We start from the raw sequence: 16344 nt of genomic DNA on the forward strand, positions 1-16344 counted from the left end.
AGCTGACAGAGGCACTTTATAATAAATAGGTAACTACACAAAAATATGAAATAACTGAACATCCTGCCCCTTAGGTGAGAAAGGTTAAGATGGAAGGTTTTTTTCCATGAGTGGAGTTAATTGAAAACACAATCCTTCTTTACGTTTCCTTTTTCCTAATACAGCTCACACACATTCTATTTATACTTTTAAAAGTACTTGTTTAATAAACTCAGAAAACTGTCGCTAGTCCTGCAGCATGACATAGGAGAATCGAAGCTCAAAACTTTTATCTTTAGCCCAGGAGTAAACTATTTCAATAATCATTTATTTAAAGGACTGAAAGTCAATTTCATCATCCTCCCTTTTAACATTGTTTCTTAGAATCTTGCTACTTGAGAAATACCTAAAGTAAAACTGAATAGAAGCAAAACAAAAATGTAACATTAAGGTCCTGACAAATCATTTTAGGGGATATTTAATGCAGAATTCCAAATTTTGTTTTTCATGGCACTCAATAAGACTTAAAAATTTTTATATTCATGTCTGGGCAAAAAGAGGTCTCACAGTTCTATATTATAGATATGAAAAGTACTTGTAATGCCTGTAATAAAAGTATTGTTAAAATATTTCTATTTACCTGGTAGATTGGTCACTAGCTGGCCTCTGATAAAATCATCTACTTCTTCTGGTTTTAGGTGGTACTGCCCATCTGGTTTTGCTTTTCTAGTTGCCATTCTAGCCAGGAGAATATTAGAACCTATTAAAAAAAAAAGTCATCCAAGAAATAGTCACAATTATTTTTTAAATTTCTCAACAAAGATCTCTTCATACAGGTTATCCATCAAGTTTCTAAAAACAATGAAAATAAATTTTGATTATTTCAAATAAGGTGTAGAATTTTGCTAAGTATTTAGATTATAACCAACAGAGTACCTGGACAGAGGTTTCTCTTTGCTCTAACGCAAGTGCCACTTCAGCATCTAACCAGAAGCAGGAATAGAGAAAGCAGTCCTGATTTTTTTTTTTTTTTTTTTTTTGGGGGATGGAGGCTCACTCTGTTGCCCAAGCTGGAGTGTAGTGGTTGTGATCTCAGCTCACTGCAAGTTCCGCCTCCTGGGCTCCAGCCATTCTCCTGCCTCAGCCTCCCGAGTAGCTGGGACTACAGGCGCCCACCACCATGCCCGGCTAATTTTTCTGTATTTTTACAGACGGGGTTTCACCATGTTAGCCAGGATGGTCTCGATCTCCTGACCTCATGATCCACCCGCCTCAGCCTCCCAAAGTGCTGGGACTACAGGAATGAGCCACCGTGCCCAATCAGCAGTCCTGATCTTCAGAGTGGGTGTCTGTAGGAATTGAAGGCCATGATCAAAGAGTAGTTCATGTTCCCAACCACAGGAGACAGAGGAGGTAGGGAAATGACAATAAAAAGTGCGCGACTGGACTGGGGAAACCAGAAAGCCCAAAGCAGCAGTGGGAACTGAGGGTAGAAGAGTCCTCAAAACACAGAGACAGGCAGTGAGGTTCACGGTGTAGGTGTGGGCAGGGGCCACAGAAGCAGTGGAGGAAAAGGGCACCAAGCCCTGAGAAGGGGCAGGGATCTGCAGAGCTCAGCTGCTAGGTGGGCTTCTCCGTGAATAATAAAATCTCCAAAGGGAAGACTTATATTGAGGACATATCTTGGTTTTATAGAAGACTTATATAAACAGAGATTCACGAACAGGGAAAGTTCTGGGAAGTCACACCAAAATGATAAAAGTAGTGAGTTCAGGGGAGGGGAAAGGCACTGAGGAGTGGAAATATAAAGTGGGACTTTGGCATTACATATGCTTGAACTTAAAAGAATGGATTCACATGATCACTTATAAATGAAAATTAAGGACAATTAAAAACAAAAAAATAAAATTGTGCCTGACAATGGAATATAGAATTCCTAAGTGAAATGTTACCAATGTCTGTGGGCCAACATCAGGGGGTAAAAGGTAGGCTAGCCAGTAGCTGTAGGAATGCTGGGAATGTATTAATCATACTTTTTATTTTCTGTATCTCGCAGTGTTTTGAAATCTTAAAAATCCTGCTGGCTGGGGAGAGACTGCCCTCCCAGGGCTGGCTAATTCCTAAAGACAGTAAACCTCTTACCTGGAAGCACACTTGTCATATGCAACCTAACCACCTCCTGCCCTAAATTGTCCCAGGGCCAGCTACCAGGCAACTAGGGACCACCCCTATAGCCCAGAGCCCACCAGAATTACTCAAACTAGCCACTCCTAAAGTGTTTCCTCAGCCCTGCCTTGCCTTTCTGAAAAAAACCCTAACAAAGGCTCTGGAGCCTAGGCGCTCCGTCTGCCACTCCTTCAGCTTCTGTCTCCTAACCACCCTGGTGCTTCCCCAGTAGTCCTGTGTAGCACGGTGTGCCCCTCCTCTCGGGAAATGGAAGTAACAAATTCTTCTTTCAATGGCATTAGCCTCTCTGCATCATCACTCAGTCATTAGTAAATTTCATGGGTACAAAGGAGACAGGGAACTTTGGAAGAAGAAGGGTTTTTGGATGAAGATGGAGGAATAATGGTTGAAAGTGACAATGGCAAGCTAAGACAGTTAACTTTACCTTCCAAGCCTGTGGTATACTGAGTATGGCAGGGACAAACTGGCTCTAGTAACAGAATGGCAAGAAAAGGGGTATCTTGCCAGAAGGTAATGAGTGGGTTAAGAAAGGAAGAGGTGACTCAGGGAAGCTTAAGTATGAAAGAGTTCCAGAGGACACGGCTGGAAGAATCAACAAAAAAGCAGGGTAAGTGCTGGGAGCAGCTGTGGAAACAAAGTACAAGGTTTAAAGACAGCATGGATGGAGATGGAGGAGAGACTGGACAGTTACTGAGAGCACTTGGAGTCAGGGTGACTTCTAGAACTGAGTGAAGACAGGAATAGCTCCATGTGCCGGGAGGCTGAAGTGCAGAGAGTAACAAGACTCAGACTTAACACGCAACTCTAAACCCATACCACCACCTAGCTTTAAATACGGTTTCCGTTCACTTTTGGGAAAAAAAAAACTGTTTACAAATGTTGAATGAAACCTTCCCAATTTTTTAAGAATAAGTAAGAAATATTCTAACTTATTTATTGCGAAGATTATCAACCATTTACTTATATTTCCAGCACTTATCTCGTGTGTCACACAATTGTAAGCAATGCTAAAAACGGTTTTACAAGTGAGAGGAAGCTAATAAAAAGAAAAACTCCATAAAATTAACTGATATTCAAGAATCTCAAAGCAACTCTTTTGAGTACAAGATAAGCTAGATACTAACCAATTCCAACAGAGGCAGCACATTTCGTCTGGTCTTTGATTTCCATACGAACAGCATTTGCAAATTCATCAGGAGTAAGTTTGGTCTCTGCAAGGATTTCGGTAATGTCTACCAGCGCTTCATCACAACTGACAGCTTCAATGTTATGAGTGTAGCTATCAACACAGAGCAAAGGCAACGAATCACAGCCACAGCCACCATCTGGTAGACCCAATGTTGCAAAATAGTCTTCTTATCCTCTCTTTTTTCTATTTCCTCACAAAGCATTTTAAATGAATTGGCTGAAGTACCATTTTAGTCACCCAACTTTTAACTGCAAAGTTAATTAGTGTGTTCTCTTTCTCCTTATTAACTACCAAAATACAGCATATTGGATAGGAAAATGTTTGAGGAGTAAAATAACCAACAAAAAAAATTTAAACACAAAAAAACAAAAACACAGCATAAATTATTATTTCAGTTTCTCTATACTGACAATACTTCTATAAACCTTTGAAGAGTTGAAAACCGGTGGGTGAATTTGAACTGTCAAAACATTTAATCTAATGGTTTATGAGAATCCTTTAAGGAACAGAAAAATTAGACAAATCAGTAATTGCTACTCTCCTAAAACCAAAATATCACAGTTAAATTCCACTCACTGTAGCAGGCCTAGAATACAGAAGGAAAAAGTGGCCAGTCATCCCAACTGCTTGTCTGAGAATAGTTATCTACACTCTCTGCATGTGGACATACTTTTTAAAAAATCATCTCATAGGATCTATCCACAAAAAGGATTTGTTTTAATTAGAGAAAAGAAAAAGGAAGACAAGAGTTGCTATGTGGCCCCCATGCTAATACGAGGACTAAGAAATCACAAAATAGAACTGGACCAGAAATGGGAGGAAACTTTCCCAAGAGGCCTCAGGATCAAAACTATGTCTTTCATAATCCACTTGGTAATGTAGACTAGGAGGGCGGTCCTCATCTCTCACCTACACCTTACTGTAGGTAGGTTACAATCAGATTAAGATCTCTATTAAAGAAATAATCTATTAAAGAAATAAGTATGTTTTGTTTAGGCTTAAAGTATGACATTTTTAAGAACAGAAGGGTATATCTGGTATGAGGTATTTTGCTTCAGAGTGAAAGCTGCCCTGAGACAGGGAGAATATGAAGCTGAGATAGGATTTCCCAAGGGTGGTAGAAGAACACTACTGTGGATATTTTTCCCCTAAGAATAGAAACATGCCACTGAAACTGTCTCCAGCCTTCTACTGGGACCGTGTGCATGTGACTGTGTAGGAGTATAGGTCACAGCTCTCTCTCACATCCTCATAACCTCAGGCACAGGCTGATGCTTGCTCTAGGGCTTCAATACCCAGGACACAGGAGCACCACAGTACTGACCTCAGTCACCCATCCCTATCTAGCCCTCGTTTGGATGCTACCACTGACTTCCTCCTTTCAAAGAGGATTTAAAGCACGTTCCACTTGACAATACCAACATTCCTGTATTTGGGATTTATTTATTTAGTTACCCAACTTATAACTGGAAAGTTAATTAGTGTGTTCTCTTTGTGTTAATAGAATAGCTATAATAAGTGTCTTATCATTCAGCACTCACTCCTACATAATGACGCCAGGAAATAATCAGTTCCTTCACATTTTCTCTCTCTCTCCTACTAAAGCAAGCTCCCACAAGGGCAAGGATTAGATATTCCCTTCTGGACTAGCAGCATCTAGCAGTCACCTGTACTTAGCAGATACTGGTGTTCAAATTAACGCATAAAAAGGAAGAGGCAGAGGTGAAAACAGAGGCAAGAAGTCTATCTCTTGGAACATTAATACTGCCCAGGAGTTGACAAACCTTGGCCTAACATCCAGTAAATGCATTTTTACTGGAACTACACCAAGCCCATTCATATACATTCCCCGTGGCTGCTTTCCATTCACAACGCAGAACTGAGAACTTCTGTTGAGTGACAGAAACTTTATCTGGCTCCCTTCAGAAAACTATGCTGACCCCTGGTTTACAGCATAATAGGCTGGTTATACTTTTAAGAAATTTGAGTCCTGAGTTAATATGGAATATATCTACACTTTTAAATATTTTTAAATACATCTACAATTTTAAATATTTTTAAAATTAATCACCTTTTCTCAAGCCAACTCATCAACCATTTTGAAACTATTATTAAAGACCCACTTTTATGAAAACTAACTTTTGGCATATCCAATGATTTTAAGAAGATAAAGGTTTTAAAGTGTCTCCACTTGTTATCAACCCATCAGTTCTAATTTTGAACAAAACTATAATTAAAATGAAATAAAAGAGAAAAACCAGGTTAAAAAATTCCATCCTTCATCTATCTGGCTCCATGGGAAGAAAACCAGAACCACAGACTAGAAGTAATATAAGCAAATAATCAGATCTTACATCAACCAAGGAAGCACATGAACAATTTTGGCAATACAAAACTATCCTTTGAGATTGAGCTACCTGGAAATTGCCCAAAGAAAGGTCTCAAACTGGGATGCTGAGGAGTGGTTCCTGGAAGATAAAATTCTAACAAAAGTGATCCTGACAATCCTAAAGAAAACTTGAACTGTCTTTACTATTAGCTAAAAGAAGGAAAACACAGACACAAAATGACAGTTTGATACACTGTACCTTGCCAATGTTTCATACAATGTTTGTGCGACTTCCTTATATGCATGAAAATCGTATGGAACAGCTTGAAGATTAGGACATAGTTGTTTAGCATGCCCAAAAAACATTCCGTTCTTAATGCCAAGTTGCCTAGAGCGAGAACAAAACACAATGGAGGTTATTCTAGGAAGTTTTCAACTCAAATATTTATCAAATATGTTGATATCTCCCCATGCCACTAATTTATAATTTCCACTTAACTCCATTCTCATTAGGGATTAAAGATAGGCATTAAAATTTACAGCCTTGTTTTCCCCCAAAAGTCACAACTGTCTGAATAGTGTAAATGACACATGTAGATGTGCCAACTATGTCATTAAAATACCAGGTTTGGCTCTTGTATCTGAAGCTTTCTCCTAAAACTCATACCTCTGGCCCCTTTGCAGAGATGCCAGCATGCCATATGCTGGTGATATCACAACCACCACAGAGCAGGAATATGCTGTCAAAAAGAGGTTTTCTTCCCCTAATACAAGGCACAGTTTGGCCAGGGTTCATCCCCCAAAGACAAAGAATATAAACAAAAGAACTACACAAAACAGTGCTATGTGACAAACAGACAAAATGTACTCATCCTATTACCACCCAATTCCCAATTGACCAATTCCATGCTCCTGAAGTGGCTCCACAGTGGTTGAGATGCCAACAGCATTGTACATGGTAGGACATCACTCTGGGCAGGAGCCAGGGTTCCAGAACTTTGAGGGACCTAATTGAAAATGGTAAATTTTAAATCTGTGTGTCTCAGTGCCCCACATTACCTTTGACATTTGGAGCATTCACCACAAAACTATAATTATGGAATTATACATAATTAGTAAAATTCTATTTTATCACTCTGTAAAGAATCAAGAAAAAAAATTATAGTAAAAACAAGCAAAATAATAAAGCAATGTTTCACCAAATTACATATTATATAATAGGATAATGGTTATTCTATATATATGTTCAATAAATATTTACTACACAGCATGGAGACGTGCCTTGTTTTAAGAAACGTATATACAAACAGTTGCCAATTACTCATAGGCCTCTGGCACCCTCCCAACATCCAGACCATGAGAGCCAAGAAGAAAGAGTCCTCCAAGTTACTCAGCAGTAGATGCAAAATCACATGCATTTTTATGTTTATAAAAATAGTAATATTATAAATGGTCTCAGTGCTAAGTCCCTAGTAGATAAGAAATACCTAAGAGGAAGGAAAATGACAGAGTTGTAAAGAAAACAATTCTTGATGTGTCGAGGACTTAGCGAGGTGCTGGGTATAGGATGGCAAATAAAGCAAACTCCATGACCTCCATGGGGACAACCTTGCACTTGCCTAGAAAAGGATGACCTATGGTCAACAGGCTTTGTCCACTAATGAAGAAAGTAGATACCTAACAGTTTAGACATATATGTAGAAACATAAAATAGTTTAGAAACTTTATCAGAAAGCAGAAAAAAGGTCTGGTGTTGAAAAGGGTAAATTTCAGGTAATAATTATGCCAGATATATAGATTCAGCATGTAAAAGCTGAGTTTACAAATTAAAGATAACACATTTTTTAAAAATGTGTTTATAAGGCCGGGCACAGTGGCTCATGCCTGTAATCCCAGCACTTTGGGAGGCCGAGGCAGGCAGATCACCTGAGAGGGGGAGTTCGAGACCACCCTGACCAGCATGGAGAAACCCTGTCTCTACTAAAAATTAAAAATTAGCGAGAAGTGGTGGCGCATGCCTGTAATCCCAGCTACTTGGGAGGCTGAGGCAGGATAATCGCTTGAACCTGGAGGGTGGAGGTTGCAGTGAGCCGAGATCGCGCCATTACACTCCAGCCTGGGCAACAAGAGCGAAACTCCATCTCAAAAAAAGAAACCCAAATATGTTTATAGTCCAGGCGCGGTGGTACACATCTGTAATCCCAGCACTTTGGGAGGCCGAGGTGGATGGATCACCTGAGGTCAGGAGTTGAGACCAGCCTGGCCAACATGGTGAAACCCTGTCTCTACTAAAAATACAAAAAAATTAGCCGGGCATGGTGGCACACTCCTGCAATCCCAGCTACTCGGGAGGCTGAGGCAGGAGAATCGCTTGAACCTGGGAGGTGGAGGTTGCAGCGAGCCAAGATCGTGCCATTGCACCTCAGCCTGGGCAACAAGAGCGAAATTCTATCTCAAAAAAAAAAAAAAAATGTGTTTATAATCCCTATAAATATCATGTTCTTATATTTACAATATTTTCATTTTCAAAACATTAATTTACACAAAAATTTTCCGAAGCACATTACTTAGTAAAATATAGTACATCTACTTATGTACTCATGTAAAATGTACCCAGAGAAAACTGTTTAAGAGCCATTAGACACTATAAGGAAGTTACAAACAAAAAACGAAAACCTTTTTCCTTTGGTTTGCCTTAGGTTTGCCATACTAAGGGAAGCCAAATACCTTGAGTTGATGGCTGGGAAATGAGCTTTGTTCCATAGAAAATAAATGAGTAAAGACAATTACAAAAAAGTCCAAAGTGTCTCAAAGTGTCTCTTCATTACCGTGACTCATCTATTACAACTAAAATCCCATACAGGATAAATTACCAAAACTTCGTTAAGTGTATGCTGCAAAAACAGCTTATTCCTACATTTAAAGCACAGAGGACATATTCTGTCTGGCAATATGCTTTGTTCAGACAGTTGTATTTGGTGTTGGATTCAACAATATTAAAAAATTGCTGGCCGGGTGCGGTGGCTCACTCCTGTAATCCCAGCACTTTTGGGAGGCCAAGGCGAGCGGGTCACGAGGTCAGGAGTTCAAGACCAGCCTGGCCAACATGGTGAAACCCCATCTCTACTAAAAATACAAAAATTAGCCAGGCGTGGTGGCGGGAGCAGTAATCCCAGCTACTCGGGAGGCTGAGGCAGGAGAACGGCTTCAACCTGGGAGGCAGGGGTTGCAGTGAGCCGAGATAGCACCACTGCACTCCAGCCTGGGCAAAAGAGCAAGACTTCATCTCTGGGGGAAAAAAATTGCCATCAAACCACTGTCACTGTCCATTCTACATACTAAAATACATCCATAAAGTAAGAAAGGTAGTGGGTCCTTACAAAAGCACAAGAAAATGGGGTTTAGAAATTATATGACTTTAAAGATCTGTGATTCTAGGATATCTGTGTATCGTTACCTATTCATGTACAATCTACCTTCTCACTGATTCCATATAAAGTTTGCTCTCTACTGTAAGTATAGGCCAACTACTAACAGCAGTGCAAACTGTGACCCACATATACACATTCTACTTTGTATTTCTACCATTTCATATTCACATTCTATCCTTTGCTGGCCCCATTATTAAGCTATGTATAGTGAAAACTCACCAGTGCATCAAACTGAGCAGATCATCCCCACAATCTAGTCCCCACTCCAAACTCAGTAACATTTCTCTTATGCAAATTGTTAAAAAAATTTTCCTCAGATAAGGAAAATATAACCTGTTGGATGGCCACAAAACAAGTATCCAGAAACTATTTTCTAGAAACTTTCACTAGGAATAGCCTTCTAGAAAACAGAAAATCACAATTAAGGGACAAAAATCTTACGGCTGCATTTTTTTTTTCTTCAAGTTAAATTCATTTTCATCACTTTATGTATCTTCTTAAACATCTGCACTTAAGTGGCACTTGAATGGCTCACTATATAGTATTCTGTCCTCATATAGTCACCCCAATTATTTTGCAAGGCATGAAGCTTGACCAAATTTATAAAGGTAAATTTATATTTACCGTGGGTAAATATAAATGCACCATCCAAACACCCAACAGAAGCCTAGTGCCTACACACAATTGTGGCTCCTGGAGTCCAAAGCCACCAGAGCTGGTGACACTTTCACCTGGAGGCAGCCCTGCTCCCCAGCCAGCATTCATCTTGGTGGGGGACTGGGTATGAAGGTATAAAGGGAGAGACCCTGCAGAGGCAGCCTTAGCAAGGGTAAACGGAGCTCGCATTTTACCAACTAGCGAAATTCAAGGACTGGGAATATTTCTGGGCTTCATCACACCCTCCAGATACTGCACATAACTGTCTAGCCATCTGAAGTCCAGGCCACCATTCATTAACTTAGTAGAGAAAAAGAGACTAGCCTACTGAGCACAACATAAACTCAGCTCTAGAGTGCCTGTGGTAATAAAAAGCAGTATAACAATTCAAAACGTATTTGTATTTGACTTAATTATCATTTAAAGTAAGTTTCAATTCCTTGGCCACAGCATCAAGTGACAATGAAAACCATTAAAACATAATTCTGTTAATGAGAAAGGCAAAGTTAGCTGGGGAGGAAAAGTTTGGCATGTCATGAATGGAAAACAGTTTAAAATATAAGCATGCACGTTTGAACTTAATGCTTTTTAACTTAAATATACTTTAAATAAAATAATTAGCAAATTTAAAAAAAACTATTATGATTAGACGATGCTGAGCTCAAATATTTTTTCTTCAGATTAGATGCCTGAATAGCCACAACTCTGAATCAAGACTAAAAAGATGTAACTAGGCCAGGCACAGTGGCTCACGCCTGTAATCCCAGCACTTTGGGAGGCTGAGGCGGATGGATCACGAGGTCAGTTAGCCATCCTGGCTAACACGGTGAAATCCTGCCTCTACTAAAAAAATACAAAAAAATTAGCCGGGTGTGGTGGCGAGCACCTGTAGTCCCAGCTACTCGGGAGGCTGAGGCAGGAGAATGGCATGAACCTGGGAGGTGGAGCTTGCAGTGAGCCAAGATGGTGCCACTGCACTCCAGCCTGGGTGACAGAGCGAGACTCCGTCTCAAAAAAAAAAAAAAAAAAAAAGATGTAACTGATCTAAGACTCTGTTTCGATTTGAAATTATTGAATACTTTAACACTTGCCAGCAATGTGTAAGGGCTTGCTGTGTGATATAGGTAAAAATGTCTGTGTTTGGTTGACAAGGAAAAAAAAATGAAGACTTCTCTTTTTAATTATTACTCCCTCTACTTTTACAACTATTCCAATTATTTCAAAACGGTTTTTTAAATTATGAGGAAGATATATATATATGAGTGTGTGTGTGTTTCTTCCTATACTGAAACAGCCAATTATAATTATGGTTTCAGATCACTATAAGATAAAGACCTATACAAAAAGTTGGTGCTAACAAGTTGACAACACTCTTAACACTTTTAAGTGAAGAGATATTAAGAATGCCAATAATTCAATTATTTACTTATAATTGCATAGGCAAATGGGTTTTAACACTAAAAAAACTGAGTATCAGGAAGTATGGATTACAAGATTTTTTCTTAGCAATAAAAACAAAAGATTAGAGGGAATAAATATTAAAGTCCTCTTCCATTAAAAAAAAATCTAATTCTTTTATTTCACTCTTCAAAAGACAGTAAAAACGATGATCCCCAATTTCTTTTGGTTCCTACTACATGACCTATTGGTTCTCATCAGGGAACTAGTAAGCTGTTTGTTTAAAGTTATCTAGCACTGGTGGGGGGTTGTGGGGGGCATAGATGAGATGATTAAGGCTAAAACCTCATAACACGTCTGTAACATTTAAATCCACTTCAAAAGATTATAGTTCAAGAAATTATATAAAAATAATTAACCAAATTATTCATTAAGAATTGTAACACACAACTTCTACATACCTGGCCTCATAACTACAAGATGCAATTTCAGCCCTTGACAAAACAGAATCAATTCCATTTGCTTGCGCAGAATCTGGATTCTCCCACAATGATGAATCTGGTATATCTGCTTTAAAAATAAAAAAAAATTAATGGTTATATGTTATAAACTGATTTTCCCTCACTTTTTCAAGAAATTTGTTTTCCATTACTTTCATATAAAAATGTTCAGTAAATTCCAAATACAGTTATCTCTATTGGTATTATCTCCTTATCTAATAAAAGAAAACTCTAAAATGGTTCGCTTCCATTATATTCTTCATCAGCAGATAAAAACTTATAATAAATTCAAAGTGTCCTGGGAGGTTTGTTTTTTTTTTAAATACACCAGAAGATAAATATAAAATATCCTATAACACACAGTCCCTGGAGGTGGACATGGATGAGAAGTGATCAGGGAGATGAACTCCCTCTTATAACCTTAAAAGGACTGTACAGCTCTCGGTAGTGGGGAAAAGTTAACGAAAAATATAAATTTCTCTGAATATTCTTTGCTGTTTCCTAAAAGAACTATCTGTAAAACTTAAAGCTAACTAACGGGTACAACAAACATGAAATTCCTACCATCTATCTGATCAAACAATAATTTAGTAGGTCACAAAACATGAAGAGGTTTCATCCTAAATTCAAGCTTTTTCTTTTGTACACATGTCACATTATCCCCCGCTACAGGTAATTGTATTTTGGTTTAATAATGCATGTTCAATTAAAAACATTCAAGTGTGATCAGAGTATCGATGCTTTAGAGAACACAACTGGAGCCTAGTGTGGCTTACCAACATCTCTTAATATCCAAACCAAATTTACAACTTTACACAAGAAAACAAAACCACACACTCTGGAGAGCCTACTGGCTGCATGCCACTTTACTTCCTTTGCCACCTTTAGCTTCACTAGTAATTGAGAAATAAATTAAAACACAACTTCATCATAGGTCTCTTGGGATACTACTATTAGGTTCCAGGAAGAGTATGCTGTAAAAAAAAAAATCACATTCTAAAACCACAACCTCAGCCACATCTCTACTATTATAAACAAAAGTACCATGAGTAAAACAAACCCAAAATATATCACTTCAGCTATTCCAGACAAATCTATTTTGAGTGCACTGTAACAACACATAACTAAGAAACCCAGCATTTCTCTTTTGTTTATTTCAGACTCACTGTTCTGTGAAGTCAGCCACGTTAATGCACCACCAGGAAAACTGGCAAAGTCTCTGGCTTCATGGGCTTAAACAACTCTTCCTGGTTTGACCAATAATCATCAGCATCTTTCATCTAACTATGCAACCCATACAAGCATTTCTGGATTTCGGCAACCATATATACACAGCATAAATGCAAATCAAACTGACTAACATCTCGGGTCAAATCCTACTTGCTTCAAAACAGCAGAGTGTGTAATGTGAGCTAGTTTCTGACATATGAATAACGTATGCTAGCTATACTATTACAAATTAAAGACAGAATCCCAAGCAGATTACCCAGTGTTTCTGGAGGGTTTTAAAAGGGTAAATATAAATTTTAATAGTCCATTCATCTAAGCTGAAAAACTGTAAGAATTTCAGGACTGTCAGTATCACACTTCAACAGAGGGTGCTACTAGACCCCAAAAAAAGGAGTGCTGAAGCTTGAACAGCCACAACCAACTGTCTTTCCAAGGTGTAACCATGAGTTATGCCTTACAAGTTGGAGAATTACCTGACTTTGGTATCTGAAGGGCTAGTTATCTAAGATATTGTCTTGAAAATAACAGAAAACTTATGCTTGAGGAGAGAACAGTCTCTGTGGTCCATGCGCCCCCAGTGCCCTGGCCTGAGAGGCAGCACCATCGTGTTCCTCTCCATTGGGCTGGCTGACCTGTTCCACAGTGCAGCAGAGTGCGTGGGTCCCTCCACGAGCGGAGTGAGTTGCTTCATGTGAGATTCAGGGAAATGCAGGGACACACTGTCCTCACTGGAGGGCAAAGTAGAGAACTGCTCATCAAAACTTGACAAACTAGACGGGCACATGGAGAATGTGGAGGAACGGTTGGAGAAATCAGAGGCCAGGACCCAAGTCTGTGAAAAAGAAATCGCTGAGAATAAATCTATGACTAATACGATTTTTAAAACTGTTGTTCTTTAGAATGAAAACTGAAGTTGTCGATGGGATAGAAAACATCTGTATCCTGGAAATCCAGGAAGGGGTAAAAGGCCCCAACCATGAAATTTGGAGCATAAATTGTTCCAAACAATGAGATCATCAATGAGAAGTGTGACTACTGAGTACTGCTCAGGAAGCAGCCTCCAAAAGAAGTCATGGATGGATGAGATACCCTGGTTGCACGGGGCTAATTAAAGAGTTTTTGGATACGACAACTAAGAAACTAAAGTTTCAAAAAGGACTAAGGATGCTATTTGTCCTAATACTTTGTCTAGACATATAAGCCAAACATTAGAACTGATCTTTTTTTTTTCAAAGCTAGTGCACAGAAGCCAAAGATTCTAATTCCTAAACCGATCCTCAATATTTTTATATTTGGTGCCATGTCTGATAATGACCCAGAGAAAGAAAGATCAGGGAATAACAAGCAAAGAGGAACAAAAGCACTGAAAAAAGTTCTGAGCACAAGCTTAGTTGTAATCAAACTTTATAATAAAGGATAATCTATTCATTTTATATGTAGCAAATATTCTGGTGAGCTCCTAATACGTGAAAAGGCTTAGGATATAAAAGTAAATGACATCAAGTTAAAGTAAGAGTATAAAATACAAACTGTCATATAATCTTTTTCTAGTGACGGGACAATCTCCTTTTGACAATTTTCAATGGCAAGTGAAATTTAAATATTTCTCCTAATATTACCTTCTGGTTTACCACCCACATTTAGATGTGAAGGGGATGTGATTATAGAAGGTCATTAAAATGTTATAAAAATTAGGTGACTAAACTGATGAAGACAAGTAACCAATGACAGTACTGTGTTAATAAGCCATTTATAGTAAGATTGTAACAGAAGAAAAGACAAAAGAGGACTAGCTCTCTGCTACTCCTAAGGAATGTGAGCTTGTCAAGGTTAAAATTTTAAATGTAGGCTGCCGATAAAAGGACGTGTGTAACAAGACTACCTACCAGAGAGACTCTGAGCACTGAAGATGCTACTGCAAGTATATACATGGTGGTTTTTCTTCTTTCAGCATTCTTTAGTATTTCATAAATGCCTAATATATGACAAGTATTGTGTACTTCCTTAAGCTATTTCTTATTTTCTAGAACTTAAGATTTCATCTGTTTAATAGCACACAGAAAATACAAAAAGAAAAACCAACCTACCACAAAAACCATACTACCAATACCTAAGAAACTACCTATACCATAATACAAGTAAATCTCAACAAGTTCAGTAACAGCTACTCCACATCTACTCATGACACACAAAATTCTAGAATCTCAAAAATCTCTGAAAAGATTTAAAGACCAAGAAAACCTTTATAAAACTTGGAAATAAATGTACACACAAAGCATAAATATGTATCTGCAATTATGTTATTTCATACTTAAGACCACATAAACAGATGATCAAAACCAACAAAAAGACTATAATCCCAAAAAAGGTCCTCAGAGATGTTCGCTGGCTTTCCTTTTGCCTTAATTTCATTGGAGTCATTGTGACAAGCCCAACGTTTTATAACTGACAAGGGCACTGAAATAACTGCAATAAAACTAAACTGCATGCTTTCCATTTCACTGTATATCTAACTTCTGACTACTTTCTGGGTAATATATTTCTGAGAAACTAATTTTAAAAATTCTCTTTGGCTTTGCAAAACAACCATGAGAAAACTAATCAGTTACCAAAAAAAATTTAATTTCTAAGAAAACATTTCTCAGTGAATTTACTCAGGGGAAAAAAGCAATAGACACATGAAAATCTTAATAAGTATTATGACTAGTACAACTTATGATTTTGCTTATTAATATCCAAAATTAAAAAGTCAAGAGAGGCAACAAGGTTATTTCTCATAACAGGTTCACTAAAGCATATGGAGAATGATTACTGGTGTTTACTTTTAATTCCAATAAATTAAAAGTTCTACTGTTTGTTATTCTACTTCCTCATACAAATCTTGAGCAAGACAAACTTTAACATTCTTACTGTGATACAATAACCAGTAATTAACTCTCACAATAGAAAGAGGCTTCTTTAAATTCTGCCCATGATTTTTATCCCCAATCTAAATTTATACAAAGCAAATCAATCATATCTTGTAAAACATTCTTCACTCTCTACTTCAGGAAAATATCACCCTCCAATTCAACAAAACCTAACAGTGACATCCTTAAAACCCCTGAATGAAAAAGCTAATTGCTACAACTCTGCACTCATTTCTATTAACAACCATGCCAAATAGCAAAATCCAGAAGCCATCCACAGGAGCACTAAGACTTCAAAGAGAGCTCATTTGTACCTGCTTTGCCTTTCAGGATTTTATTCTGGTAATACTGCCACTCCAGCTGGGGGTTAGCGCCAGGACGTAAAGGTGCCCTTCCTGTGCCTCTGTTACTTGTAACAGCCACTGGTTTTCCTGTGAGGAAAATATTAAATTATTTCTGTATGTGGTACAGGAATGTTAACAACATGTAAGCAAAAATTTTTCAAAGGATTTTAAAAACATGCCTTTTTTTTCTT

General features: G+C 38.1%; 1 protein-coding gene across 26 annotated transcripts in view, besides 2 other annotated features; it reads right to left on the bottom strand.

Annotated features, from left to right (window-relative positions):
* REV1 (REV1 DNA directed polymerase) overlaps positions 1–16344 on the bottom strand; it is an 89726-nt gene that overhangs the window by 17732 nt on the left and 55650 nt on the right. For 6 of the 26 annotated variants that reach the window (NR_135651.2, NR_135650.2, XM_047444723.1 and 3 more), the window contains 5 exons: positions 16124–16240; positions 11632–11737; positions 5944–6072; positions 3291–3445; positions 620–739 (listed from right to left, as the gene is read on the bottom strand). Coding sequence is in view for 21 of the 26 variants with exons in the window: in XM_047444723.1 (XP_047300679.1) it covers positions 620–739; positions 3291–3445; positions 5944–6072; positions 11632–11737; positions 16124–16240 (627 nt within the window). In the remaining 5 variants the exon portion in view is untranslated. Of the gene's footprint in view, positions 1–619; positions 740–3290; positions 3446–5943; positions 6073–6564; positions 6692–11631; positions 11741–13532; positions 13733–16123; positions 16241–16344 lie in introns of those variants that run through there. The other 20 variants (NR_135653.2, NR_135652.2, XM_047444721.1 and 17 more) reach the window with 8 other exon arrangements.
* Positions 4518–4567: a silencer, noted in NCBI's record as "silent region_11808". NCBI's record gives its function as "represses an Ori minimal core promoter by ATAC-STARR-seq in GM12878 lymphoblastoid cells {active_cell/tissue: GM12878}" and the evidence as "EXISTENCE:reporter gene assay evidence [ECO:0000049][PMID:35858748]".
* Positions 4618–4687: a silencer, noted in NCBI's record as "silent region_11809". NCBI's record gives its function as "represses an Ori minimal core promoter by ATAC-STARR-seq in GM12878 lymphoblastoid cells {active_cell/tissue: GM12878}" and the evidence as "EXISTENCE:reporter gene assay evidence [ECO:0000049][PMID:35858748]".

This window comes from Homo sapiens, chromosome 2, assembly GCF_000001405.40.
Source record: "Homo sapiens chromosome 2, GRCh38.p14 Primary Assembly".
Lineage (NCBI taxonomy): Eukaryota > Metazoa > Chordata > Mammalia > Primates > Hominidae > Homo > Homo sapiens.